The following is a 27,370-nucleotide window of genomic DNA, read 5'->3' as shown; positions in this document are numbered from 1 at the left end:
CCTGTAATCCCAGCTGCTTGTGAGGCTGAGGCAGAAGAATCGCTTGAACCTGGGAGGCGGAGGTTGCAGTGAACCTGGATCGCGCCATTGCACTCCAGCCTGAACAATAAGAGCGAAACCATGTTTCACACACACAAAAAAAGACAGCATGAAGCCATGTGGCATCTCCTATGACCCAAACACCTCCCACTAGCCCCCACCTCCAACAGTGGGGATTCCATTTCAACAAAGGATTTAGAGGGGACAGCATTCAAATCATATCAGTGTGTGTGTGTGCTTGTGTGGGTGTGAGGTTACTTTACCTAGTCCTGATGTCATGGGCTTAATGTGCTACTAATACATTTTTTAATACACATTGAAAAATAGTTATAACTGTAAAGATGAAACATGGTTTTCCATGTACCACTAAAAATGGTTTCCTGTTCCATTAGTGGTATGTGTAGCCCTTCTGTGCAACCCTCTTGGGTCTCCACTGACAGCTCTTGACCTATTTGTGGGACTTAAGGTAAGATATTTTGTAGATTCTGGTTTTTAAATTTAAAGCAAACTCAAGCTGTATGATCCTGAAGTACAAGAGACGATACAGAATAATTCAAGGAGGTTGGGAAAGCTTTCTTTCTTTTGTTTTTTAGAGACAGGGTCTTGCTTTGTCACCCGGGCTGGAGTGCAGTGGTGTGATCATAGCTCACTGCAGCCTCAAGCTGCTGTGCTCAAACAATCCTCCCACCTCAGCCTACTGAGTAGCTGGGACTACTAATGCGTGCCACCATGCCAGCTAATTAAATTTTTTTTTTTTTTTTTTTTGTAGAGATGGGGTCTTGCCATGTTGCTCAGGCTGGTCTTGAACTCTTGGCTGCAAGCAGTTCTTCTGCTTTGGCCTCCCAGGGAAAACATTTTTAATTTGGGTATCTTCCCCCTTGATCTTTGACATTTTTTTTTTCATTTGATGATGTGTTTGCTTGATTACTTCTATTTCCATCCTCTTCAGATGTTATATATTTCCTTGAGTATCTTAATTGCCTTATTTGTTCATTAAACTTACGAGGTGCCCAGTCCCCTGCTTGAGACTGGAAGTGCATCTATGAACACCACAGGATATGTGGCCCCAGAGTGCGTTACAAGAATATGGTCGTCAGCCAGCAAATGTCTTCACCTGCTCTACTTAGATTTTAGCAATTTGCATTGCTCCTGAGGTGCTCGATTGCATATGATAATTTGGAAACAGCAGGTCCCAGCAGATAGAGGAGCAGCTGTCAGATCTAGAAACCTGTCCATTGGCCCAGATTGTTCTGATGATTTGCAGCATAACCTTGGAAACATCGTTTCATTTTCCGTTCCAGGTTTTCACTCTGGAAAGTGGAAAATCACAGCAAATGAAGCTGGTCTTAAAGAAATCGAGTGCCCCACATACTGTAATGAGCTCGCTTTTCATTTCTCATGCCTACCTTGTTTACATGGACACGTCCTGTTGGTGTGTAACCTTATGTAGTAGATAGATACAAGGTATGGAGATACATATATACGATGTGATACCTGTAGTCCCATGTAGATACAGGAGGTTTTCTTTCCCAAGGCATGTCAGGAATTGTCCGTGGAAATGACAGCCTGAAAGAGATAGGTGTACAGTGTTGGTGGACAAGCCAGTATCAGTTTGGCGAATCTCTGAAAGCCCATTTTGAGCCTGTTTGTAAGGTTGAGTGAAAGAACTGTTGAAGTGTGAAGAGGTGCCTGGGAAAGGACTCATCCTACCAACTTTTGAGTTCCTGGGGAGTGGGATATAGCCTAGGGTCGGGTACATAATAGGTATTCAATGAACATCATTTTGCACAATCCTTGTAATGCTTAGTGGCCCCTGGCACTCAGAGAATCACTGTATGTTTAGATCATGACAGGGCTGGGATTAAAAGCTTTACTCTTTTAAGTATTCTGAATTTATGGAACTATTATGTTTTACACTTTTTTTTTTGAGAGGGAGTCTTGCTCTGTTGCCCAGGGTAGACTGCAATGGCACGATCTCTGCTCACTGCAACCTCTGCCTGTTGGGTTCAAGTGATTCTCCTGCCTCAGTCTCCCGAGTAGCTGGGATTACAGGTGCCCACCACCACGCCAGGCTAATTTTCATAGTTTTAGTAGAGACGGGGTTTCACCATGTTGGCCAGGTTGGTCTTGAACTCCTGACCTCAGGTGATCTTCCCGCCTTGGCCTCCCAAAGTGCTGGGGTTACAGGTGTGAGCCACCACGCCTGGCCTATGTTTTACACTTCTAAAAGATATTGATAATATTGAGACATCTAGTTTAAACCTAAGTGCATAATGGTAATTCGCCAAGGTGAAATTGATTACTTTTCCATATTGAAGGCATAAAAGCATACTTCTTGAACCAATAATGACACATGGGTCGTTGTTTCACACTAGAATCACATGCTTTCATTAATTTTTTTAGTTTGTTTGCCGTGTTTTTTGTAGCAAAGACCTTGACTTTTGTGATCTCATTTAAAATATCACCAATTGACTGACATGTTAAAAAAATCTGTTTTATAAACTGTCAAAAGAAAAAGCATAGGTACTTCAATCCTCTCATTCAGTGTGCTACATCCGTCTCATTAATTGCCTTTTCAGAGAGCAGTGTCATTGGAGGTAGTCAGTCTTTCGGAAAAAAACAGATCAAAGAGTTGTCAGGAGGTTGTTTGGCTCTGAGATAATTCATTTCTTGCTTTCTTTCATGAGATACATAGGAGTGTGGTAGCTAATGATCAGAAATGTGGAAATTGGAAATTGAAATGTATCTATTTGATCCTTGTACCTTGGTCAAAATACACAATTAATCTGTCTGCTTTTTATTTTCTTCTGCCCTTATGTTCTAGACACGGCGTAAATCTCAAGTCATGCCTTTTGTCACCTATGATTTTAGCCAATGGTTTCTAGTTACCTTGTGGTTTTTCATACGGATATACAGTGCGCTGATAAGCGTTCAAACATCTAGCCCCAGAGGTCTCTGGTGTTTGGATAAGAGTTAGCAAAAGCATATTGCATGGGAGATGTGCTTATCATTTTGTTCCTTTCCTTCCCTCTTTTCATTCTCTAATTCAAGAATTTCTGCTTGACCCAGTTTAAATGTCTTCTGCACAAGTCTCTCCTCATAATGCTTTATTGGTCTTTGTCTTAGGCAGTTTGAACTGCTATAGTGAAATACCACAAACTGGGCAGCTTAATCAACAAACATTTATTTCTCACAGTTCTGAAGGTGAGGAAGTCCAAGACCAAGGTCCCTGATGATTGGGTTCCTGGTTTGAAGACAGCCTCTCTCTATATATATCCTGACATGGCAGAGAGAGAGGATGTCTCTAGTGTCTGTTCTTTTTGTTTTTTATTTTTGAGACAGGGTCTTACTCTGTCACCCAGACTGGAGTGCAATGGTGTGATCATGGCTCACTGCAGCCTCGACCTCCCAGCCTCAGGTGATGCTCCCACCACAGCCTCCCAAATAGCTGGGACTACAGGTGTACACCACCATGTCTGGCTATTTTTTTGTTTTCTTTGAGACAGAGTCTCACTCTGTTGCCCAGGCTGGAGTGCAGTGGCGTGATCTCAGCTCACTGCAACCTCCGCCTCCCATGTTCAAGTGATTCCTGTTCCTCAGCCTCTCGAGTAGCTGGGAGTACAGGCGTGTACCATCATGCCCAGCTAATTTTTGTATTTTTAGTAGAGACAGGGATTCACCATGTTGGCCAGGCTGGTCCCGAACTCCTGGCCTCAAGTGATCCACCTGCCACGGCCTCCCAAAGTGCCAGGATTACAGGTGTGAGCCACTGTGCCCGGCTGCCTGGCTAATTTTGTCTATTTTTTGTAGAGGTGGGGTTTCAGCATGTTGTCTAGGCTGGTAGTGTCTCTTCTTATAAGAGCACTAATACCATTCATGAGGGCTCCACTCATGTCTAATCACCCCGCAAAGGCCCCACCTCCAAATACCATCACCTTAGGGATTAGAATTTCAACATACGGATTTTGCGGGGACACAGATGTTCAGTCCATAGCATTCTTATTATTGCAGCACTAAACAGTCAGCTTGGTGTCATAATCTAATAGAAGAAAGGGACTGTATTATCTGTGTCTTCTAGCAAGGTTTAGTATATTGCACACAAGTACTTGGTTTTGTTGTTGTTATTTATTTACTTATAAAGTTACTGTTTGAGTGCTGCACTGTGTCAGGTACTCACTCATCGGTGAAAGAAGCACTATTATTTTCCTCATTTTACCTATAGAGAAGCTGGGGCTTGGGGGAGGATCCCAGGTCATTCAACATGTGAGTGAAGGGGTTGGGACTTAAACCTAGTTTTATTCTAAAGCCCCTGTCCCTAACCGATCCGGTACAATGCAAATTATATGGAATTAACTATATAAACTGCTTTATGAACATTGTGGATATGTTAAATTTAGGATTTTGACCCACATTTTAATGAACTAAAAAAAGTAGGGTATTGAGTCTATTCCTTTTCTTTATACTGTGGTAATAGATTAATTATCCTCTGATGGATTTTTTAAAAAACAGCTTTATTGAACTATAATTCATACCCCTTTCGAATCATCCATTTAAAATGTACACTTCCATAATTTTTTTATTTTTATATTTACTTTACTTTATATTATATTACTTTATTTTTTTGAGATGGAATTTCGCTCTTGTTGCCCAGGCTGGAGTGCAATGGTGTGATCTCAGCTCACTGCATCCTCCGCCTCCTGGATTCAAGTGATTCTCCTGCCTCAGCCTCCCAAGTAACTGAGATTACCGGCATGTGCCACCACACCCAGCTAACTTTGTATTTTTAGTAGAGACAGGGTTTCACCATGTTGGACAGGCTGGTCTCGAACTCCTGACCTCAAGTGATCCACCCACCTCGGCCTCCCAAAGTGCTGGGATTACAGCGTGAGCCACTTAACATTTATTGTTTGAGACAAAGTCTCACTATTTCGCTCAGGCTAGAGTGCGGTGGCGTGCTCCAACTGCAACCTCCACCTCTCAGGTTCAAGCGATTCTCATGCCCAGCCTCCCGAGTAGCTGAGATTACAGGTGTGCACCACCATGCCTGGCCAATTTTTTGTATTTTTAGTAGAGACAGGGTTTCACCATGTTGGTCATGCTGATCTTGAACTCCTGAGTCAAATGATCCGCCTGCCTTAGCCTCCCAAAAGTGCTGGGATTACAGGCATGAACCAACATACCCTGCCAGTTCCATAATTTTAGTACATTTATAAAGTTTTGCCACCATCCTCAAAATTGTTCTTAGGACAGAAGAAACTCTGTACCCATTACCAGCCATCCGTATTTCCCTCCAGCTCTTCTCACCCAATCCCCAACCCCAACCATTTAATTTGTCTCCATAGATTTCCTGTTCTGGACATTTTATATGAAAGGAATTATGCAGTATGGAGTCTTTTTTGACTGGCTTCTTTCACTTGGCATGTTTTTGAGGTTGATCTTTGTTGTATTGTGTCTCAGTACTTCATTTCTTTTTATTGCTGTGTAATACTCTATTGTATGGCTGTACCATATTTTATTTATCCACTCATTAATTGATGGACATTTGGGTTATTTTTCTTTTTGGCCATAACAGCTAATGCTGCTACGAAACTTGTGTACAAGCTTTTGTGTGGACATACGTTTTCACATTTTTTTTTTTTTCTTAAGGACTGGGTCTTCTATTATCCATTTGGAGTCTAGAGTTACTTATAACTTGCCTAGAGTCCAACCTTGGGTGATTCTTTGGCTAGGGCATAGTGCAGTGTTTTTGGAAGCAGAAATTATTCATTGATGTTATTTCATTAATGTCACTGTATAGTCATCCCTTGGTATTCGTGGGGAATTGGATCCAGACCTCTGCTCCCCCACAGATACTAAAATCCATGGCTGCTCAAGTTCCTTATATAAAATAGTGTAGGCCAGGCGAGGTGGCTCATGCCTGTAATATCAGCACTTTGGGAGGCTGAGGTGGGCAGATCACCTGAGGTCAGGAGTTCAAGACCAGCCTAGCCAACATGGCAAAGCCTTGTCTTTACTGAAAATACAAAAATTAGCCGGGTGTGGTGGCGGGTGCCTGTAATCTTAGCTACTTGGGAGGCTGAGGCAGGAGAATCGCTTGAACCCGGGCAATGGAGGTTGCAGTGAGCCGAGATTGCGCCATTGCATTGTCAACTGGGCGACAGAGCGAGACTCCATCTCAATTGAAAAAACAAAATAAAACAAATAAAATAGTTTAGTATTTGCACAAAACCTATGCACATTCTCCAATATATTATAAGCAATCTCTAGATTACTTATAATACCTAATGCAATGTAAATGCTATGTAAATTGTTGTTATACTGCATTATTTAGGGAATAGTGACAAGCAAAACAAGCCTGTACATATGCAGTACGGATGCAGTGCAACCATCTATTTTTCCTTTTTTAAAATATTTTGGATCTGCAGTTGGTGGAACCCAGGGGTGCAGAACCTACGGATACCGAAGACCAACTCTCTTGGCCAAATTGTGTGGCAGCGAGTATGAGTGGGAAAAAGATTGTCTTCAGGGAATCAGGGAAGCCAAGTAGAAATGGGAGTAAAATGGTTAAAAGCCTTGAGGGTTAAGATACTAAAATGCCCTTTGGAGAGCAGGGATCCTTGCGGATTTGAAGCAGGCTGGAACGTACCAAAGAAAGTTAATTAGTGAATCACACTGGTAGGACAGACTGCCCAATACCTTAATAGAAATTGGCAAGGTACTTTATGTGGGACACTGACTTTTTCTACCAGAATAGTTTCTATGTTAGATAGGACTCCTGTTTGCAAATAACATACATCAAGCCAAGATCATGTGAATTTTTTTTAAAGGAGGTTGGTGTTAATTTTTTTTGAAGACATAAGGTGCCTCCTGGCTAACATGAACAGTAATGTTACCTATCTAGGGATTGTGCTGGATGGTGAGGCCCCCAGGATTCTGGGCTCTGTGGCTCTTTTGGCTTATCTTGTTTCTTCTTATTTATGTCATTCTCTCTCCTGCAGCTTTTAATGACTTTTTTTTTTTTTTTTTTTTTGAGACAGAGTTTCGCTCTTGTTACCCAGGCTGGAGTGCAATGGCATGACCTCAGCTCACTGCAACCTCCACCTCCCAGGTTCAAGTGATTCTCCTGCCTCAGCCTCCTGAATAGCTGGGATTACAGGCATGTACCACCATGCTCGACTAATTTTGTATTTTTAGTAGAGACGGGGTTTCTTCATGTTGGTCAGGCAGGTCTTGAACTCCCATCTTCAAGTGATCTGCCCACCTCGGCCTCCCAAAGTGCTGGGATTACAGGTGTGAGCCACCGCACCTGGCCCACTTTTTTTTTTTTTTCTTATTCCTCAATGGACACAGTGAAAAATGTAGCTGCTGACTGTTTCTGAACTGGATATCGCATCTGGATGGGAGATGTGGTATCCAAGAAGACCCCTGCGGGATCTTCAGTACAAAGTCTAAATACCCTTAGTAGCCTAGGATGGCAGACAGAAACCTGCTAGATAACCTTTAAAAAGCAGGAATGTGATGTCCTGTACAGTTTGAGGACAATGAGACAAAAAGAATAAATTGTTGTACATATACAGAAGGGTTTGGCTTGGCATCAGTGTCTGTCAGAGGCGTGATGTAGTCACTGCAGATGAATGAGCCCACTCTTGGGCTAAGGGGAGCATAGTGTCCTGATCCCACTGAATTTTCAGGAGGGCACTCCAGCCCTTGAGGACTAGAGCCAGCTCCATGGTCAGTGTTTTAAGGAAGACCTTGAGTGAGTTGAGTAGTCAGACGAGCAGAACCAAAATGGTGACAGGAAACCCTGCCAAGGGTAGCAGCTTACCCGGAGGAAGAAGCAGTAAGGGAAGACAGGACCACTTTCTTCTGTTATTTGAAGGCTTACCATACAGAAATGATAGAGAATTGGTCTGAGTTTCTCCAGCAGGTGGGAGTTGCAGAAAGGCATCTCTTAAATCTATCTTAAAAAAAAAAAAAAAAAAAGTTTCAGCCAGGTGCAGTGGCTCACACCTGTAATCGTAGCACTTTGGGAAGCTGAGGTGGGCAGATCACTTGAGGTCAGGAGTTCAAGACCAGCTTGCCCAACATGGTAAAACCCTGTGTCTACTAAAAAAAAAAAAAAAAAAAAAAAAAGACAAAAATGAGCCAGGCATGGTGGCGTCCGCCTGTTATCCCAGCTGCTCGTGAGGCTAAGGCAGGAGAATTGCTTGAACCCGGGAGGCAGAGGTTGCAGTGAGCTGAGATCGTGCCACTGCACCCCAGCCCGGGTGACAGAGTGAGACTCTGATTCAAAAAATAAAATAAAATAAAGTAAAAATTCCTATCTCAGAAGCAGAGCAAGGAGTTGCCTAAAATTTTGTGCTTTCTAGATTGGAGCTCCATCACTTACCATTCATCCAGGATATTACAGAAGGCATTCTAGATTTCCTCTGCACTTTAAAGACCAGTTGAACATGACATTAGTCAGCATGTAGGCACTGAGTATGGAAAAGGTTCTTTTATTTGAGGCCGATGTCACAGTTTAGCCATCCCTCCATCACCCACAAGTCCTTTCAGTGGGCATCTCCTCCTCCCTCTGCTGTGCGTGTGTTTGGGGGAGCACTAACTAATTTTGATGGTAGCCTAAGCAAAATGCAATTAGGGAAATCTCGTGCCAAACACGCATCTGTGCCAATGTTTGCCTTCATTAGCACGCATAATCAGGAGTTTGCTTTAAACACTGTATGTCTTTCCCTGTGGAAACATGAAATGGAGAGGGTGCAGACGGAAACCTGGGTGCCCTGCATACCGTGGAGTGCGAGACAGTGAGCCCAGGAGCCTGAGATAGCACCTATGGTTTGGGGAGAATCATGTTCTTGGTGATTGGTGTTATGGTCAGAGACTGAGATGCATTTATCAGGGATGGTGTGTGAGTGTGCACATGTGTACATGCGTGTGTGAATGTATACATCTGTTCATGCTACTCATTTTAGCTCTATGTGGGGAAGCACAATTAAGGAAATAGAGAACCAGAGATCTCAAAAAACAAAGGGTAGGATGTGGCAGTATCGTTTACGAAATGCTTGCCCTTAAGCATATACATAGCAATTTGACACAAAGGACTCTATTTTTTTCTACTCTTTTTTTTTTAAATTTTTTTTGAGGTGGAGTCTCACTGTGTCACCTAGGCCGGAGTGCAGTGGCACAATCTCAGCTCACTGCAACCTCTGCCTCCTGGATTCCAGTGATTCTCCTGCCTCAGCCTCCCGAGTAGCTGGGATTACAGGCGCCCACCATCATGCCCGGCTAATTTTTGTATTTTTAGTAGAGATGGTGTTTCACCATGTTGGTCAGGCTGGTCTCGAACTCCTGACCTTGTGATCCTCCTGCCTCAGCCTCCCAAAGTGCTGGGATTACAGGCGTGAGCCACCACACCTGGCCTTTTTTCTACTCTTAATAAACAGGTTTGCATATAGTAAAAAAAAGAGAAACTCAGCTTCACTTTGCAATTTATGGGTTTTTTTGGTGGCACAGGATGTATAGGTTTCTATTTAGTGCCTGGCTTTTTTGATATAAGAAGATGAGCATACCTTATAAGAACATACATCTTCATATGTGTGATAAAAAATAAAGTTGTTGATTTTTCCTTTTCTATATATGAATGAACATGGTGGGAAGTTGAAAAAACAGAAAGGTGGACGAAGGGGAAAATAATTGTTATTTACTTACCACTGAAAGTGATTCTGATAATTCTGGTATTTTGCCCATTGTTTAGTCTTTATTACTTGAACATACACATGTATATGTGTATACTACACGGAGATATATACATATTCATGCACAAATGCATGTACATTTTTGTACCCAAACACCACATTTGCCTGGAGGTAGATGGCTTTGCTCTGTTTGTGTTTGTTAGAATGTTGGTGGTAATTGGAAATCACTTTTTTTTCTATTAAACAGTGACTTTCTGATGTTTTATTTATCTGAAATGTTTGTGAAAGCCAACCGCATACTGGATGTTTCTTAGAATATTATTTAGTAGTAAAGAATAAAGAGCCAAAATTAAGAGTTCAAAAGTGGGTATATTTCTCTGCTGTGTGTAAAAAACATACAGAGAATTCTAGTACAAGGTGAAAAACTAAAGAATCTGAGTCACTGTGTCTAATGTAAAGACCAGAAATTTCACCCTTTCTCTGCCATTTCTTGCTAAATTTCTCTCTGCTTCCCCTCATCACTGAATCTATGCCAAACTTCATTTTTAGTGGTTGAAAATAGAAATTTAATCTTTTTTTAAAGGAGGGTATTATCTGTTTAAAATAATTTAATGGCCCAGAGGAATAACGAATATTTGTTTTTCTTTTATAAATATATTCCAAAATTATCAGTTGGCTAGTTGTCGCTTTGGTCCTAGAAGCTGAATAAATAAATTCTGGGAACCAAGTCTTATCCCATATTGCCTTGGAACAATCTGTCCCCCTGCTGGGAACCTGATGTTTTCCTTCAGTTTGATGGGATGAACTTCTTTGCAGGAGCAGCGTGATGGGTGGGAACCCAGAGCAAGTGTCAGCTTGTCCCAGGGAGTCTTGAGTTTCACAGCCCCTCCTGTTCCTGTCCATCTCTTCCTTCCACCTTGAGATTCAGGTCAATTTGAGGAGTCAGGGAGGGAGGATATCCGATCCTTTAGTCCTGAGTGCTGGATTCCAGTAGATGTGTGAAGTTGCTGAGAGTTCCAATGGGCATTTGGAGGGACAGATGCAGAATATTCCGTATATGTAGGTATATGAGGTGGGAGAAGGAAAGGGAGCCGGAGGAAGTTTGGGAAGAAATTGTCAAAGCTACAGGAAGGAAACTTGGATGCTGTAGTGGATAGTTTTTGATCGTTTGCCCAGTGGTTGCTTCCCATCCTCTTCTTACCAGCACCCAGTATCTGTTTTATGGGATCGCCCCCTGCCCGCTGCACACCAGCTGTGCCATTTGGGAGGAATGGGTTCCATACTCGGTGTTGGCATTCTTCACAGCGCCAAGCACTGAGCGAGTTGGGTCTGGAACTTACATGGAATTTTCTGTAATTGGTACAGAATTTAAATGAGAGGCTTCCCCAACAAGGGCATGGCTGGTGGTTTCAGGGGCTACCCAGATACCAAGGAGGGGAAAGGCCATTTAGAGTGACAGATGTGGTGGGGGTGGGGCTTCTGGTGACCTTGGTTGGGGCTGTGCTTGAGTGAGAAGAGAGGATGCTGCTGCTTCCAGAGGGAGCTGTTGTAGGTGATGGCAGCTTTGAGGATATGGGAGGAGTGGGGAGAGGAAGAGGGAACGACCAGGTAAGAGGGATTTTGATTTAAACGATGGGGGAAAAGGAAGTATATTTATGTAGACGCATGGCTAGATTTGATCATTTTCTTGAATTAGTTTTCTCTAGTTTCTTCTGCTCATCAGCTTTCTCTTTAACTCAGCATCTCTCTGAATGGGCTTATTACTCTTCTCTCATCTCTAGTACTCCCCTGAAAGAAAAAAATTCCAGACACCCTCCTGCCTCTCTTTCTGTTTCTTCCCTGTTCTTTTCTGCTGTCTCTTGTATCTTAGTGCTTTGCACAGTACCTGCCATATGTTAGGTGCTCAAGGCATATTTGTTATATGAGCATGATATGGTTTGGCTTATAAATAAGTCTCACGAGATCCGATGGGTTTATCAGGGGTTTCTGCTTTTGCTTGTCTCTCATTTTTCTCTTGCCACCACCACGAAAGAAGTGCCTTTCGCTTCCTGCCATGATTCTGAGGCCTCCCCAGCCATGTGGAACTGTAAGTGCAATTAAACCTCTCTTTGTTCCCAGTTTCGGGTATGTCTTTATCAGCAGTGTGAAAAGAGACTAATGCAGAGCAAAAGAAAGGAATTTTATGACAGGGTCTCATCCTGTATCCCAAGCTGGAGTGCAGTGGTATAGTCTCACCTTACTGCAACCTCTGCCTCTCGGGCTCAAATGATCCTCCTGCTTCAGCCTCCTGAGTAGCTGGGGGACCACAGGCACGTGCCACCATGCCCAGCTAATTTTTGTGTTTGTTTTTGTTTTTGGTAGAGAAGGAATTTCTTTTCTTTCTTTTTCTTTTCTTTTCTTTTCTTTTTTTTTTTTTGAGACAGAGTTTTGCTCTTGTTGCCCAGGCTGGAGTGCAATGGTGCAATCTCGGCTCACCGAAACCTCTGCCTCCCGGGTTCAAGTGATTCTCCTGCCTCACCCTCCCGAGTAGCTGCTATTACAGGCATGCGCCACCACGCCTGGCTAATTTTGTATTTTTAGTAGAGATGGGGTTTCTTCATGTTGGTCAAGCTGGTCTCGAACTCCCAACCTCAGGAAATCTGCCTGCCTTGGCCTCCCAAAGTGCCGGGATTACAGGTGTGAGCCACCGCACCACTGAGTTGCCCAGGCTGGTCTCAAGTGATCCTCCTGCCTTGGCCTTCCAATGTGCTGGGGGATTACAGGTGTAAGCCACCTACCCAGCCAGTTTTGTATCTTTTATGTCATGTTGGTACATAGCCTCTCTAGCTACCTAGTTTTTCAAACCCTGCCCCCACCCCTACCCTCGCCTGCCCCTTCCTGTCCACATCTTCTCTTCACCTCTGTGGCCACTGTCTCAGTTTCAACTTTGGCCCTCTCTTGCCAGACTGATTTCTGTGGCTCCTCTCCCACTGCTCTCGTGGTTCTTAGGTTCCGGCTGAGCAGGGGTTGGTCACAGATGCCCCCCTAAGGCTCCAAAGCCTCCATATTTCCTACTGGGCACTCAGTTCAAACCTTTTCAGCTTAACAGTGGTGGTGAGCAATTATGAGTCAGACTAATTAATGTGATATAACCTGTGACCACTGGCCCAGAAGGAGCTCCTCAAGCCCAGTTTTTGATGCCCAGAAAGCCGGGGAACCCCAGCTAAGTGATTGCTATGGTGCCTATAGACCTTGGATGACAAAATCTGATGATGTTTTCCTACATTTTTAATGGGAGAAAAGAGTTGCTAACTTAAAGCCCATCAGAAGTGATAAGAAAGCTGATGGGATGTGCCAGCCCATGAGGTGGAACTAGAGGAAAATGAGCCTTCCGCGTTGGGGAGCTGGGAGTATTACATGTACTCCACTGTGCAAACTCATATTGCCTCAGGGTTGCTTTAATTTCTCTTCTTTTGGCTTGTCTGCCATTGAATTAATTAAATTTCAAGAATAGTCTATTGTTAACTGGGTGAGTTCACTTTGGGAAGAACCCAAGTTCACCGAGGGTGGGCTCTGCAAATATGGTGGCCACTGCATGACCTTGAGAATTTCCTTTGACTCAGCCGGGCTGAAGGGGTGAATGAGTCTGAGAGCCGTTATGAAGAGTCTAGGATCTAAAAGAGTCTTCAGAGAACCTGAGGAGTTAGAAGGACTTTCCTGTCCTTCCTCTTATTTGTCTTCTTGCCTGATGACAAGTAATTGTACAAGTGAGGAACATCAGTTAGGTGCCAGGAGACCTCATCAACGGTCATTCCTCTTAGAGTGGTCCATTAAACAGGAATATCATGACCCAAGTGGTTCAACCCTTAGTTCTTTTTAAGGTTGAAAATCTATCTTTTTCTAGAGAAACGTTGCTCTTGTTCCATAATCATACTGGAAAAGTACTTTGCAGGGAGTAAAAACATGCAGGAACAAATTGTCATCCAGTAACTCTGGCATGTGTATAGGAGCTGTCAGCACTCCATCTTACATTACATTTTCTTTCCCATCCCTTCCTCCAGAGACCCCTTGGAAAGTGATTGGATGAATTACTCAACCTCCCTTGGCTTGAGTCTCATCGTAAAATGAGGAGGAAGGTACTAAATGAGCTCTTAGCCCCCTTCCTGCCTTTGCATTCTGGGAGTCTGTGGAGCAAGACAGGAGCCAGTCCTGTTGCCTGAATGATAAGGAGAGTCGGCAGAACCGGCCAGAGGTCCTCAAGCCAAATAAACTTCAGAAACTCTGGGGTTTTCTTTTCCAGTCTGTTGACTACCCATATGTTTTGAATCACCGCTTTGTGTAATATAAACTAAAACTCTTCAAGTGCTTGAATTGAAGTTGTTGTCAGGAACTTTTGATGACTGGTCAGAAAACAAAGCTCTAGGAGTCTGGGCTGAGAGAAGAACACAGTCATTCTGGAAAGTTTGTCCCTGGAGGTTGGCACTGAGTTGCTGCTCTGAAAAGCCTGGGACACTGGGGGCCAAACTCAAATGGCCACAGACCAGGGAGGCCCCAGAAATGTGTGGGTGCTGGGTCTGAGAGAGGGCGGCACAGGCTGCATACCGGGGCTTGTTGCTATAGCCTACTGCTGCCAGATCTTTCTATTTTTTCAAGATTAGTTGGAAATCCTAATTTTTATGTGAAGTCTTCTTATTTTTAAATATTGGATCAAAAAGGAAACAACATTTTTTTAAACAGTCCACTGTCCAAACAAAATATGTCTGCAGGCCACACACACCCTCAGGCCACCCAGAGGTATAGTCTGGGCATATAGACCGCAGTATGTCTTGTACATATTGTTTTTTGAAAACCTTTTTATTGTGGGTAATTTCAAACATTTACACATTGAGAGGATAGTATATAAACCCCCACAGAAACTCTCACATACTCATCACCCACCTTCAGGGAATATCAACCTGTGGCCAATCTACTTTGGCCTGCAGTCACTACACACACATGCGCGTGCACACACAAAAACACACCCACATACCCATACTGGGTTGTCTGTATATGAATCACAGATATGCTCTCATTTCATCTGTATATACTGCTAAAGATAAGAACATAAAAAAGCCATATTGTTCCAGCCTCTGTCTGGGTTCAAAAAATAAAAAGAAAAGCCATATTGCCTGTGTATCTCAATATTATCAGGCATATGGTCACTTTTCAAACTTAACCTCTGTCTCATAATTTTTTAACAGCTCATCTTTTTGAATCGTGATCCAAATAACACCCATACATTGTGTCTCAGTCCATTCGGCTCCTATAACAAAGCACCCTAATCTGGGTAACTTAGATAGAACAGAAATTTATTTCTCATGGTTCTTGGGTATTGGAAGTCCAAAACCAAGGCAGATTCAGTGCCTGGTGAGGGCCTGCTTCCTGGTTCATAGACTACTGTCTTTTCACTGTGTCCTCATGTGGTGGAAGGGAAAGGGGTCTCTCTTAGGCCCCCTTTATAAGGACACCAATTATTTCCCAAAAGTCCTACCCCAGGCTGGAGTGCAGTGGCGCGATCTTGGCTCATTGCAACCTCTGCCTCCCGGGTTCAAGCGAGTCTCCTGCCTCAGCCTCCTGAGTAGATGGGATTACAGGCACGTGCCACCACGCCCAGCTAATTTTTGTATTAGTAGAGACGGGGTTTCACCATGTTGATCAGGCTGGTCTCGAACTCCTGACCTTGTGATCCACCCGCCTCAGCCTCCTAACCCTTCTTCTTCTTTTAAATGTATTTTTCCTTTTATTTTTAGTTGACATGTAATAATTGTACATATTTATGGGACACAGAGTGATATTTTGATACAAGTATACAATGTGTGATGATCAAATCAAAGTAATTACCATATCCATCATTTCAAACATTTATTATTTTTTTACGTTGGGAACATTCAGAATCCTTTCTTCTAGCTTTTTGAAAATGTACAATAAATTATTGTTAACTGTAGTCACCCTATAGTGGTATAGATCTCTAGAACTTATTCCTGCCATTTAGCTGTAATTTGGTATCTGTTAAGCAACCTTTCCTTATCCTCCCTTCCCTCCTACCCTTCCCACCATCTAATATTTCACCTTCTAATACCATTGCCTTGGAGGTTGGGATTTCAGCATATGAATCTGAAGGGCACACAGACATTGAGACCAAAGCACCTTGCAACTGATGCATGTGTACCTTCAGTCTCATGTAGCTTCCTCATTATCATCCCTTTCTTTCTTTCTTTCTTTTTTTTTGAGATGGATTCTCGCTCTGTCACCCAGGCTGGAGTGCAGTGGCACAATCTCGGCTCACTGCAAGCTCCGCCTCCCGGGTTCACGCTGTTCTCCTGCCTCAGCCTCCCAAGAAGCTGAGACTACAGGCTCCCGCCACCACGGCCGGCTAATTTTCTGTGTTTTTAGTAGAGATGGGGTTTCACCATGTCTCTATCTCCCGACCTCGTGATCCGCCCGCCTCGGCCTCCCAAAGTGCTGGGATTACAGGCGTGAGCCACCACGCCCGACCTATCATCCCTTTCTTTCTTCTCTTTTCTCTTTACTTAAGAGTCCAAGTCCTTTGCTTTGTAAAGTATCTTACATTCTGAAGTTTGCTGATTGCATTATTATAGATTTGTTCAAAATTGACATGCTAATTTAATATCTTTAGTTTTATACTAAAGAGAGTCTAGACGCTTGTATTTTACCAGTTTTGCCATATTTCCCCCTGCTGCTACTCTATGTAGCTTATCATTATGAGCTGCTGTTTTACTGAGTTTTTCTCCCGTCCTTTTCTTCTTACAAATATAAGTATACTGGGGACGGTCAAATCTGAAGTCTTGTCAGCCTATGCCTGCCTTTTGGGATCTGTTCACGCATCTATTTGAAGCCTGTACGCTTTCTTGAAATGCTTTTTTCTGCCTTGTGATGTGAAAGTTTGGTCGCTATTTTTAGCTTTTTAGACTCCTGGCAGCAAATCCGAAGCCTACAGAATAATTTTGGATTGGGATATTTTGGATTTGAAGTCAACTGTGGCACTCTAATTAAAAATGTTATGCGTGTGGCTCAGCCAGCTCAAATGAATAATTTGTTGAGCTACAAACAGTAACAAATTGCAGAAATGATTCACCTGGAGTTTGAGAAAAGGTTATTAAGAAAGCGTAAAATAAATTATTATGGAATATTAAAGCCCTTTTAATATTATGGAATATTAAAGCCCTGAGGAGCCTTTTAAGAATGGGGCCTATGGAACAAAATAGGAAGTTGTTAATATGTCTTAAATAGTTTCCCTTAAAACCTTTGATGAAGTTAAAATAATTGGTAGACATCTTTTGTTAGGTTTGCCATCAAGTTGGTTAAAGTCTCTTTAATATCATATAAATAACTGAGTTTAAAATCAGAGAACATGTTTTAAAATGAATTCTTTGAAAGTGAAACTTGGTATGAAGTTTCCAGTTATACTGAGAGGCCTCTCATGAATATTCTAGAGTGGCTATTTTTGGGTTCAGCTCATTGATCCATTGAAACTGAGCATCAGATGTTGTTTTTTAGGTCTTCTTTTGTGGTCCATGAAGCAGTTTAGGGAAGATAAACACTCAGTAAAGTAATATTGATTACGTGATTCCAAGTTAGACGTCATTTGAAGTTAAAATATTATAATTTAGTGGCCCATGAGGATGTGGAAAATATAATACCAACACACAAGAACAAATAGGTAACGAATAGGAATGAGTCTGTCAAGGACTGTAATTGATAAAGGACAGAGTTACCCAAATGGCGAAGAAACGGAATGTTGCTGCTTTTGCTGATAAACAGGTCTCTTGGTTGTCTGCTCTTTGGTCTCAGATAGAATGCATGAGGCCTGTCAGAATTTCTGGATCCTCTTAAATGTGGCCTTTGGTAAGAAAAGAATAAAAACATTCTTGCCAAACTTATTAGGTAGGTAAGTTTGGGTTGAATACCAAGGTATTCAAGTTCAGTTGCTATGGAGACTTCTTCACAAAGAAAAAAAGAATCCAAATGCCATTTAAAATGGATAACTAGTGAATTTCAAAAATGTACAGAATGAGGTTATTTCGGCCTGTTGGTCTGGGTACTTCTAGTCCCATTCTGTTGACTGGGAAACTAAGTCTTGGTGCAAATCAAGCAAAGAGTTACTGACAGACCTACCTAGAGAAAGGCAATAGTGGCGTTCTTCCAGCTCTGTGTCCCCTTTGCTGTTCATAGGGCTTGCAACTGAAAGACTGCTGGGGCAGGTGGGGGTTGAGGATGAACCAGGTGAGTTGCTCTGTTTGTGCCCTTCTTCTCTTCTTCACTTCCTCCTTTCCTCTCTCCCTCCCTCCCTCCCTCCTTCCTTCTCTCCTTACTTCTTGCCTGCTTACCTGCCTGCCTGGCTTCCTGCCTGGGATTGCAATTATGTTTCTGGAGCTATTTTCTGGGACCCATCCAAATCTGAATACTCATGAGTCATTTCCTTACAGATTCTCCTGTGGTTCTTTGTATTCCCTTTGTATACAGATTTGACCCTGGCATACTTCTAGTCAAGATTTCCAGTAAAGTGTTAAAAAGAGGCTGGGCATGGTGACTCACGCCTATAATCCCAGCACTTTGGTAGGCTGAGGCGGGTGGATCACATGAGGTTAAGAGTTCAAGACCAGCCTGGCCAACATGGCGAAACCCCGTCTCCGTTAAAAATAGAAAAATTGGCCAGGCATGATGGCACATGCCTGTAATTCCCAGCTACTCGGGAGGTTGAGGCAGGAGAATCGCTTGAACCTGGGATGTGGAGGTTGCAGTGAGCCAAGATGGCACCACTGCACTCCAGCCTGGGTGACAGAGCAAGACTCTGTCTGAAAAAAGAAAGCCCCTGAGCATCCTCTTTTTAATAGTCTCTGCCTTCCTTGGAAACTTAAGTATTGCAAAGAAAGCCTGTAGGATATGGCTACATAGTGCTCACCATGAAGATGACATTGAGCTTTCTCCTGATGGATGGCCTGGAGGGAGAGATGGATGGGAAAGAAAAGGAACCAGGAGTGTGTTCATTGCCCATCAATTCCCAAACTGAGGAGCCAAAGGGTGACATGTTTTTCATTCTCTGCTAACGGATGGATATGTTTCTTTCCATTTGGGACATGCGTAAGTTAAGTAACATCTGTGTGGTCATGGCAAGAATAAGGTAACTGGTTTCCTGCCTTTTACAATGTGACAAACTAAGAGTTGCTTTTGGCAAAGGGTGAAATCCAGCTTCAAGGTTATGAGTACGGTTTACTTCCTATGACCTCTGTCAACCATCCCAAGGGCCAAGGGCATAGTATTCATGGCTGTGACATCAGATAGGGGATGCCTGGTATCAAGGTGGATTGCCTTTCAAGTCACACTTTTTTTTTTTTTTTTTTTTTTTTGAGACAGAGTCTTGCTCTGTCTCCAGGCTGGAGTGCAGTGGAGCTACCTCGGCTCACTGCAACCTCCACCTCCCGGGTTAAGTGATTCTCCTGCCTCAGCCTCCTGAGTAGCTGGGACTATAGGTGCAGCTAATTTTTGTATATTTTAGTACAGACGGGGTTTCACCATGTTGGCCAGGATGGTCTCAATCTCTTGACTTCGTGATCCACCTGCCTGAGCCTTCCAAAGTGCCGGGATTACAGGCATAAGCCTCCGTGCCCGGCCTTATGTCATACTTTGACAGTGAAATCTTGCAGTTGTTGGGGAATATGGTTTGATTCAGGGAATATCTCTCAAGCACCTGTTATGTTCCAGGTACTATGCCAAGTGCTGAAGATTTAGAAATATGTGACACAGGCTGGGCACAGTGGCTCACGCCTGTAATCCCGCACTTTGGGAGGCCGAGGCAGGTGGATCACGAGGTCAGGAGATCGAGACCATCCTGGCTAACATGGTGTGAAACCCCATCTCTACTAAAAAATACAAAAAATTAGCCAGGCGTGGTGGCGGGTGCCTGTAGTCCCAGCTACTTGGGAGGCTGAGGCAGGAGAATGGCGTGAACCCGGGAGGCAGAGCTTGCAGTGAGCCGAGATCATGCCCCTGCACTCCAGCCTGGGCGACAGAGCGAGACTCCCTCTCAAAAAAAAAAAAAAAAAAAGAAAGAAATAAGTGAGACACAGACCCTGCCAGCAGGTGCTTCCTATATCCCATTGGACAAGACGGAAACATCAGCACATCCATGGAGAATTATGCAATAAAGACAGAAGGAGAAGTATATACAGAGCACAGAATAGAAAATGTGCGTTGTGTTAGATCTCTTCCCAGGATCTGCTGGGGAGATCTTCTTTCCTGATCACTATCCTGAGTGACTGGCGTGTTTGGAGACTAGATCTGGGGTCGTTGAATTCTGGCCTGAGGGCCAAATTCCACTGATTCTTGTAAGATCCTTGAACTAAAAATGTCTTTTACATTTTTAAGCGGCTGGGGGGAAAAGAAGAATAATTGGTGTCATGTAAAAATCATGAAATTCAGATTTCAGCATTCATGAATAAAGTTTTATTGGAACAAAGTCATTTTCATTTACTTACTGTCTTTGGTTGCTTTTACATAACAAGGGCAGAGCTCAATAGAGAGTATATGGCTCGCAAAGATTGAAATATTTATCTGATTCTTTAAAGAAAAACTTTGCCCACTCTGGACTGTGCCATTACTCAACAATTATGGTGTGGTTGGCCTGTCCTCTGTCCTTCCTCCCCCATCAACACACACCCACTCAGCTGTAACTGCCACCATTCTTTACTCAGTCTGTCCATTCGTCCATCCATCCATCAATCAATCCATGCAGCCATCCATCCATCCACCCATCCATCCATCCGTCCATCCATGGTCCCTGGCCATCATGGTGTCAGCTGTTCCAAGATTTGTTAATAGAGAGTACAGAACTCTTATTAACAATTCCTATAGGTAGAGCTGCTCTTTCCTCTCCATCTGTGGCTGATGTCTCAGTGCTTTCTCAATTCTACCATCACATGCTCAAATATAACCTTCTCCACTCCCCCACACCCACTTCAGTTGCTGGGGGCTCATTCATTGGCTCCCTCTGCGGAGGCTTGAGTGTAAGTGAGGTATTCAGCAGAGGTCTTTGGAGGGTTTCTCATTTGATCACAATCTTAGTTTGAGAAATGGTGCCTCATTCATTAAGCTGTAAGAGAGCTCTCTACAAGCAATTTTATTTTTAAGTAGCCCTTTGGTTAACAAGTTTACTCCACCTGGGATGCTTTTTATTTTTGGTGGCCCACAGAAATCTGAAACAGTGCAGTGCTGGGGCCTCTAATCTGTCTTTAGGAACGGGGGATACTATGAAGCTCACCATGCAGTTACTTAAGAAAGCTATCGGCTAGTGCTATTGTGAATGTGTTTTTACCTTCCTGTAAAATGCTGAAATCACAGACTTTATTACTAGGATAATGAAGAAATGTATAAGTTCAATGCAAGTGACACCAGCAGGCCTGTGTGTTGGGTAGAGATGTCCTGGGGCTGTTTTGCTCTGCACTTTTCCTCATGGGTGTTTCTTTCTTGAAATTGAACACCACTGATCTCTCTTAAAGCAAAATACTTCAGCAAATACACAGGAAGAACCCCCTCCCCCTTTTTTTCCTGTGGTTTCATTGCATGTTGTGTGGTTTCAGAGATACTTCCTTGGGTTGCCCCCCAACCAACCAGAGTTTCCTCAGAAACAGAGAGCTTTCTTCTGGAAGAACTCTAAGATTGTAATCTGGATGCTAGCAAAGCGTCTGCAGCTGCTCCATTTTTAATTCTTAATTTGGGAGTGATCAGCAGTTTCACAGAAGAGAGAAAAATCTAAGACATTCATCGTGTGATCATTCAGCATTTGGAAAAGGGAAAAGGAGGATTGAATGAGGTAATAAACAAGGGTGTTAATCAAGGAGAAGACATGTAAGGTGCAGTTTTAAAAGACATCATTAGAGGAAGCTTAGGGACTAACAAGATGTTTTTGCACAAATATGTGGTATGGAGGAGTGTTGTGGATCACAGGAGCAGATCTTCTCTGCTTCTTACCCCTGCAAAACAACATCAGCAGTAAAACCATTTAAAAAACCCAGAAAAAAAAACAAAATCCCGGTCCTGTTAGAATGTTGGGTTGTAAGGATCAGAAACCTAAGTTGATTTAGGGCCAAAGTGGGAATACGTTTGTCTGTGTACCAGTCAGGGTAAGGCTGGGGTTAGGGGACAGCTGGACCCAGGGAAGTTAACACGATCAAATGCTCTCTGTCTTTCATCCCTGTTTTCCCTGGATCAGATTAGTTCTTCTCAGGCCAGCTTGAACCAAACAGAAGCATGGCTGCCAGCAGTTTTAGGCTGACGTCCGCAGTTTTAAAATAAAAAAATTCCCAAGGAATTTCTCTGATTAGCTAATATCGATCGTGAACCCACCCCTGGACCAATCACTGTGTACAGGGCTTGAGGTTCAACAATGATCCCAGCTGGATCCTGTGCCCATCTTGTGGTTAAGGATGGTGGAAGAAGTATGGAGGTGCAGTACAGAGGAAAACATTACAAATAAAGGGGGAAAGGAATAGTCTCTTCCACCAATCCTATGCAAAAAAAATACCCATCAGAGAACTCGATGTCCTGTTCTGTAGGGCATCCTAATCAGAAAATACAATGATAAACCCCCTTACAGTGTAAGTAAGAATGAGAGTGAGCGCTCCCTGCCCTAAGGGGTGATGGACTAGCATTGCTTTAAAAATAATTGTTGGCTGAGCACAGTGGCTCATGCCTGTAATACAAGCACTTTGGGAGGCTGAGGTAGGTGGATCACTTGAGGTCAAGAGTTCGTGACCAGCCTGGCCAACATGGTGAAACCCCATCTCTACTAAAAATACAAAAATTAGCCGGGTGTGGTAGTGGGCGCCTGTAGTCACAGCTGCTCGGGAGGCTGAGGCAGGAGAATCGCTTGAACCCGGGAGCTAGATGTTGCAGTGAGCCAAGATTGCACCACTGCCCTCCAGCCTGGGTGACAAAGCGAGACCTTTTCTCAAATATAATAATAATAATAATAATAATAATAATAATAATTGTCACTGCATTAATGGGTAATGGATCTATGACTCGTCATGAAGAGAAAGGCGAACCTTGGGTGGCTGGTTTGAATCTCTGGGCTCAGTGTGGGATAAGTCAGCTCTTCCCTTCTCACTTACTTTCTAGTGCCCTTGGGCTGGAATTGTCATGTCCATAACTCATCCAGTCCAGTGACACCAGAGAGAGAGTGAAGGAAGAGGGTGGATGCACTGAACTCACTCTTATGCTGCCTTCATTTTCAAATAAAGTCACAGTAAAGAGTATATCTTTTTTTTTTTAAAAGGGATAGGGTGACAGCTCCGTCACCCAAGCTGTAGTACAGTGGCACAATCATACCTCACTGTAACCTTGGATTCCTGGGCTCAAGCAATCTCTCTGTCTAGCCTCCCTGGTAGCTGGGACTATAAGCATGAGCCACTGTGCCCAGCCAAGGAACATGTTTTTATGTCAGTCATATATGTATACTTGCATGCACATATATGTGTATGTGTATATACACTTACATGCATGTATATGTATATATGTGTATATGTATACATACCAAATGTATACACATGTCTGTCTATCTATCTATCTATCTATCTATCTATCTATCTATCTATCTAATCTTTCTTCCTCAAAGGAATCTATGATAATATCATCTGCTATTAGTTTAATAGTTGGAAGAGGAGAATGTCTTAATGAACTAAGTATCACCTTTAGTTGTCTTATCTGTCATTAAATGTGTTACTCATTGGGCTTTTGAGTGGTTTAATGAAGCAGTGATATTTATACAAGATTTTATATCTATAGCCAAAATCTAAAAGGCTTTCTTATTTGGGAAGGGGTTACTATTCAGTGGGAAATATTCGTCTACAGGATAGTTTATGTGGATTTTATAACTCTTCTTAAATTGTGAAACATGCCACACATTCAGAACAGTGCACAACACGTGACTGTACAGCCTACTGGGTAATGTGGCCATCACCAGCTCGAGAAATGCAACATTGGCAGCCCCCAAGAAAGCCTCCCCTCCCATCCTCAATCACAATTTTCTCCCTGCCTCCTAAAGATAACAACCAGGCTTGATTTTTATGGAATCATATTTTTGCTTCTTGTCTCACATTTAGTGCTTGAGTGTAGATTCTTAAGCACTGTAGTTTAATTTTGCTTGTTTTTGAACTGTATATCAGTGGAATCATACTTTATTAAGTATTCTGGGTCTGGCTTTATTTCCTCAACTTTTCTCTTGGGTGTAGCTCTAGTTTGTACACTTTAATTATTATACAATTTCATGGTATAAATAGGCTATAACTTCATAATCCATTCTACTGCTGGTGATCATTTGGATTAGTTCCAATGTTTGACTATTGTGAATAGTGCTACAATGGACTTTTTTTGGAGATACCTTCCCCAGCACTCATGTCCATGTGTTTCTTGGGGTGTATTTCTAGAATTGAAATTGCTGATTTTTCATCTTTACTAAAGTGCCTGACCCAATTACACTCTCCCTAGTAGGATAAGGGAGTTCCTCTTGCATTATGCCCTCAGAAAACCTTGGTGTTATTAGTCATTTCAATTCTAGCTCTTCTGGTAATAAGTGGATTTCCTGGTTTGAATTTACATTTTGTAAATTGAAAAACCAGCATGGCCAAGCTCCTATTCATAGGTTTATTGGTCATTGGAATATTTTCTTTTGTGAACTGCCTGACAAATGTCACTTGTCATTTTTTATTTGGTAGTTGATGTTTTTCTTATTGATTTGTACAGTTGTGTGCATGTGTGTGTTTTAAATTATTCTGCATAATATCTCCTTGTCAGTTGCATGAGTCGCAAACATTGTCTCACCGTGTGGCTTGCATTTTATTGTCTTGTTTATTTTTTAAGTAAACAACTAAGTTTTTACCTGGAATGTAGTCAGAATGATCAGTTACTGGCTTTTTAATGTCTATCCTATTAAAAAAACCTCAGGATTACCCATAGCTACCTTGGATTGCAAAGTCTAATATAAATTAGTACTTTGAAGCCTTCCTAGATAATACAAGGACATTAGCCTTCCTAGATAATACAAGGACATTAGAGTATATTAACTCCTTTTATTCTCTACTGGATTATAATATATAGTAAATTTTTTTCTTTCATACTATTCTAAACATCTAAGACATTATTGTTAATTATTATTATTATTATTATACTTCTGTCCGTCTTAAATTATCTTTATTTCTGCTGCATATAGAATTCTCAGTTGGCGGTGATTTTCTTCAAACACTTAGAAGATACCAGTTCATTATCTTCTGGCATCTGTTCTTGCTGAGAAGTCGGCTCTCTGCCTAATTGTTGCTTCTTAGTACAATAGCTCATCAGTCTCCTTCTTGTTGCTTTTATGGTTTTTCTCTCTGCCTTTGGCTTTCCAGTTCCACTATGACATGTCTAGGTGTAAATATATTTTTATTTATTCTGTTCAGGGTTTGTAGGACTTCTTGAATCTATGGGTTGGTATCTTTTTTGCATTTTGGGAAATTTCCAACCTGTATCTCTTCAGTCCAGTTCTCTTTTTTCTTCATATTACATCCTTTCATTGTCTTTCCTCCCTCCCTCCCTTCCTTCCTTCCTTCCTTCCTTCCTTCCTTCCTTCCTTCCTTCCTTCCTTCCTTCCTTTTTCTTTCTTTTTCTCTTTTGACAGAGTTGTGGACTGTCTCCCAGGTGGTGTGCAATGGTGTGATCTCGACTTGTTGCAACCTCTGCCTCCCGGGTTCAAGCAATTCTCCTGCCTCAGCCTCCTGAATAGCTAGGATTACAGGCACCCGCCACCATGCCCTGCTAAATTTTTGTATTTTTAGTAGAGACAGGATTTCACTATGTTGGCTGGTCTCAAACTCTTGACTTTGTGATCCTCCTGCCTCGGCCTCCCAAAGTGCTGGGATTACAAGCGTGAGCCACCATGCCCGGCCCTTTCACTGTATTTTCTATGTCTCCTACCTTCTCTTTCTTTCTTTGTTTTATTTTTGTCCCTTTATGCTTCATTCTGCCAACCTAATCTTGTGAAGAGCAAATACTATTTGTTCACTCAACAAATGTATTTATTTTTAGGTCCTACTGTGTGCTAGGCAGTGTCCTAGGTACTTGGGATACTTTGGTGATCAAAAGAGGCAAAGACCCTTGTCTTTGTGAATTACTATTAAAAAATAAATAATTGTTTATTAATTGTAATGAGTTACGTCTTCATTTTAAATGAATTAATTAAGTTTAACTTAATGATTCAGTGTGTTGGAAGTGGGAAATGATATTTTAAAAAAGCAAAGTAGACCTGCTTTGGGTGGGTGGGCAGTTCTGGGAGGTAAGCGGGGTAGATTAGGGTATAGTGATGAGATGGTACCATTTGAATGAAGACTAAAAGAATATAAAGAAATTAGCAGCCTACCTGGAATGTTCCAGAAAGAGGGAGTGTGTCTGGAAAGTTCAGGGAACATCGAGGAGGCCAAGTGTGGCTTCAGTGGCATGAACAAGGGGAGAAGCAGCAGGAGATGAGGACAGAGAAGTAATAACGAGGCCAGAGGGGTGATATGCTTTGTGGGTCCCTCTAGGGAGTTTGGCTTTTACCCCTTGAGCGGAGGAATGCTGTGATCTAATTTATACTTTAAAAGGATCCCCATGGTCCTGGATGAGGATGGATTGTAGAAGGACAAGAGTGGAAACAGGGAGACTTGTTCAGAGGTTTTGTCGTAATCTAGTAGAGAATGGTGGCTCGGATTATAGTGGCAGCAGCAGGAAGGGGTGAGAAGAGATTTGGATTGGCACATATTTGGAGAGTGGATGCAACAGAATTTTCCGACTGATTCGATGTGGGATGTGAAAGGAAAGGGAAGGCAAGTATGGCACCAAGTATTTTGGTCTGAATAGTTGGGAGGGTTCAATTGCCCTTAGCTCAGCTGGGAAAGGCACCTGGAAGATACCCAGAGGGTGTACGTGCACAGTGCGGTATTCGATTGTGGAGTCTAGGGGAAAAAGCACTGGCTAGAGACATGCATTGGGAGTTGTTAGCATGTGGAAAGTATTCGCAGTCATGAGACCGGAGGGGATCTCCAAGAGTTGTAGGTTGATTTCTCCAGAAACAGGCAAGAAGACGGCATTTAGATGAACTGCAAAAGAAAGAGGAAGCAAGCAGGACCGCGTGGAGAAGTCAAACAGTGGTGTAGAACAACCTGGCTGGAAGCTCTGGAATTAATACTGCCCATCATCCTTGTCCTGCAGAGGCTGATATGACCAGTCCTTTATCCCTGCCTCATTCAGTCACCAGATATGGCCTACCCTGGGATGCCGCCCTCTGCCCTGAGACAGGTCCTGCAGGAACTGAAGGCTCGAGGCTGCCTTCTGACCACAGCCCCCGTAGCTGGACAGCAAGTCTTTCTTTGGGTTAAGATCGGGACAGTGGATCTACCTATCTCCCTCACTGAGGACCACAGTGTAAAGAAAAGAGAGAAGAGGACCAAGGACTAAGCCCTGTGGTTCTCCAACATTAAGAGGTCAGGGAGAAGAGGAGGAACCAGCAAAGGCAGCCAGCAAGGCAGAAGAATTTATGGTGTCTTGGAAGCAATTGAAGAAAGTACACCAGAGCAGAATGAGTAATC

The 27,370-nt window shown here is 42.7% G+C and overlaps 1 protein-coding gene across 8 annotated transcripts in view, besides 1 other annotated feature; it reads left to right on the top strand.

The window, feature by feature from the left end:
* The window catches only part of TIAM1 (TIAM Rac1 associated GEF 1), a 440,670-nt gene that overhangs the window by 173,882 nt on the left and 239,418 nt on the right, over nt 1–27,370 (top strand). The gene's annotated exons all lie outside the window — the stretch shown is intronic.
* Nucleotides 17,578–18,777: an enhancer, noted in NCBI's record as "CDK7 strongly-dependent group 2 enhancer chr21:32738744-32739943 (GRCh37/hg19 assembly coordinates)". NCBI's record gives its function as "activates an origin of replication core promoter dependent on BRD2, BRD4, P300/CBP, MED14 and CDK7 cofactors, with strong dependence on CDK7, by STARR-seq in HCT116 cells {active_cell/tissue: HCT116}" and the evidence as "EXISTENCE:reporter gene assay evidence [ECO:0000049][PMID:35650434]".

The sequence above is a fragment of the Homo sapiens genome, chromosome 21 (genome assembly GCF_000001405.40).
Source record: "Homo sapiens chromosome 21, GRCh38.p14 Primary Assembly".
NCBI lineage: Eukaryota > Metazoa > Chordata > Mammalia > Primates > Hominidae > Homo > Homo sapiens.
Note: the sequence above shows the minus strand (reverse complement) of the source record. Positions and strands in the feature narration are given on the sequence as shown.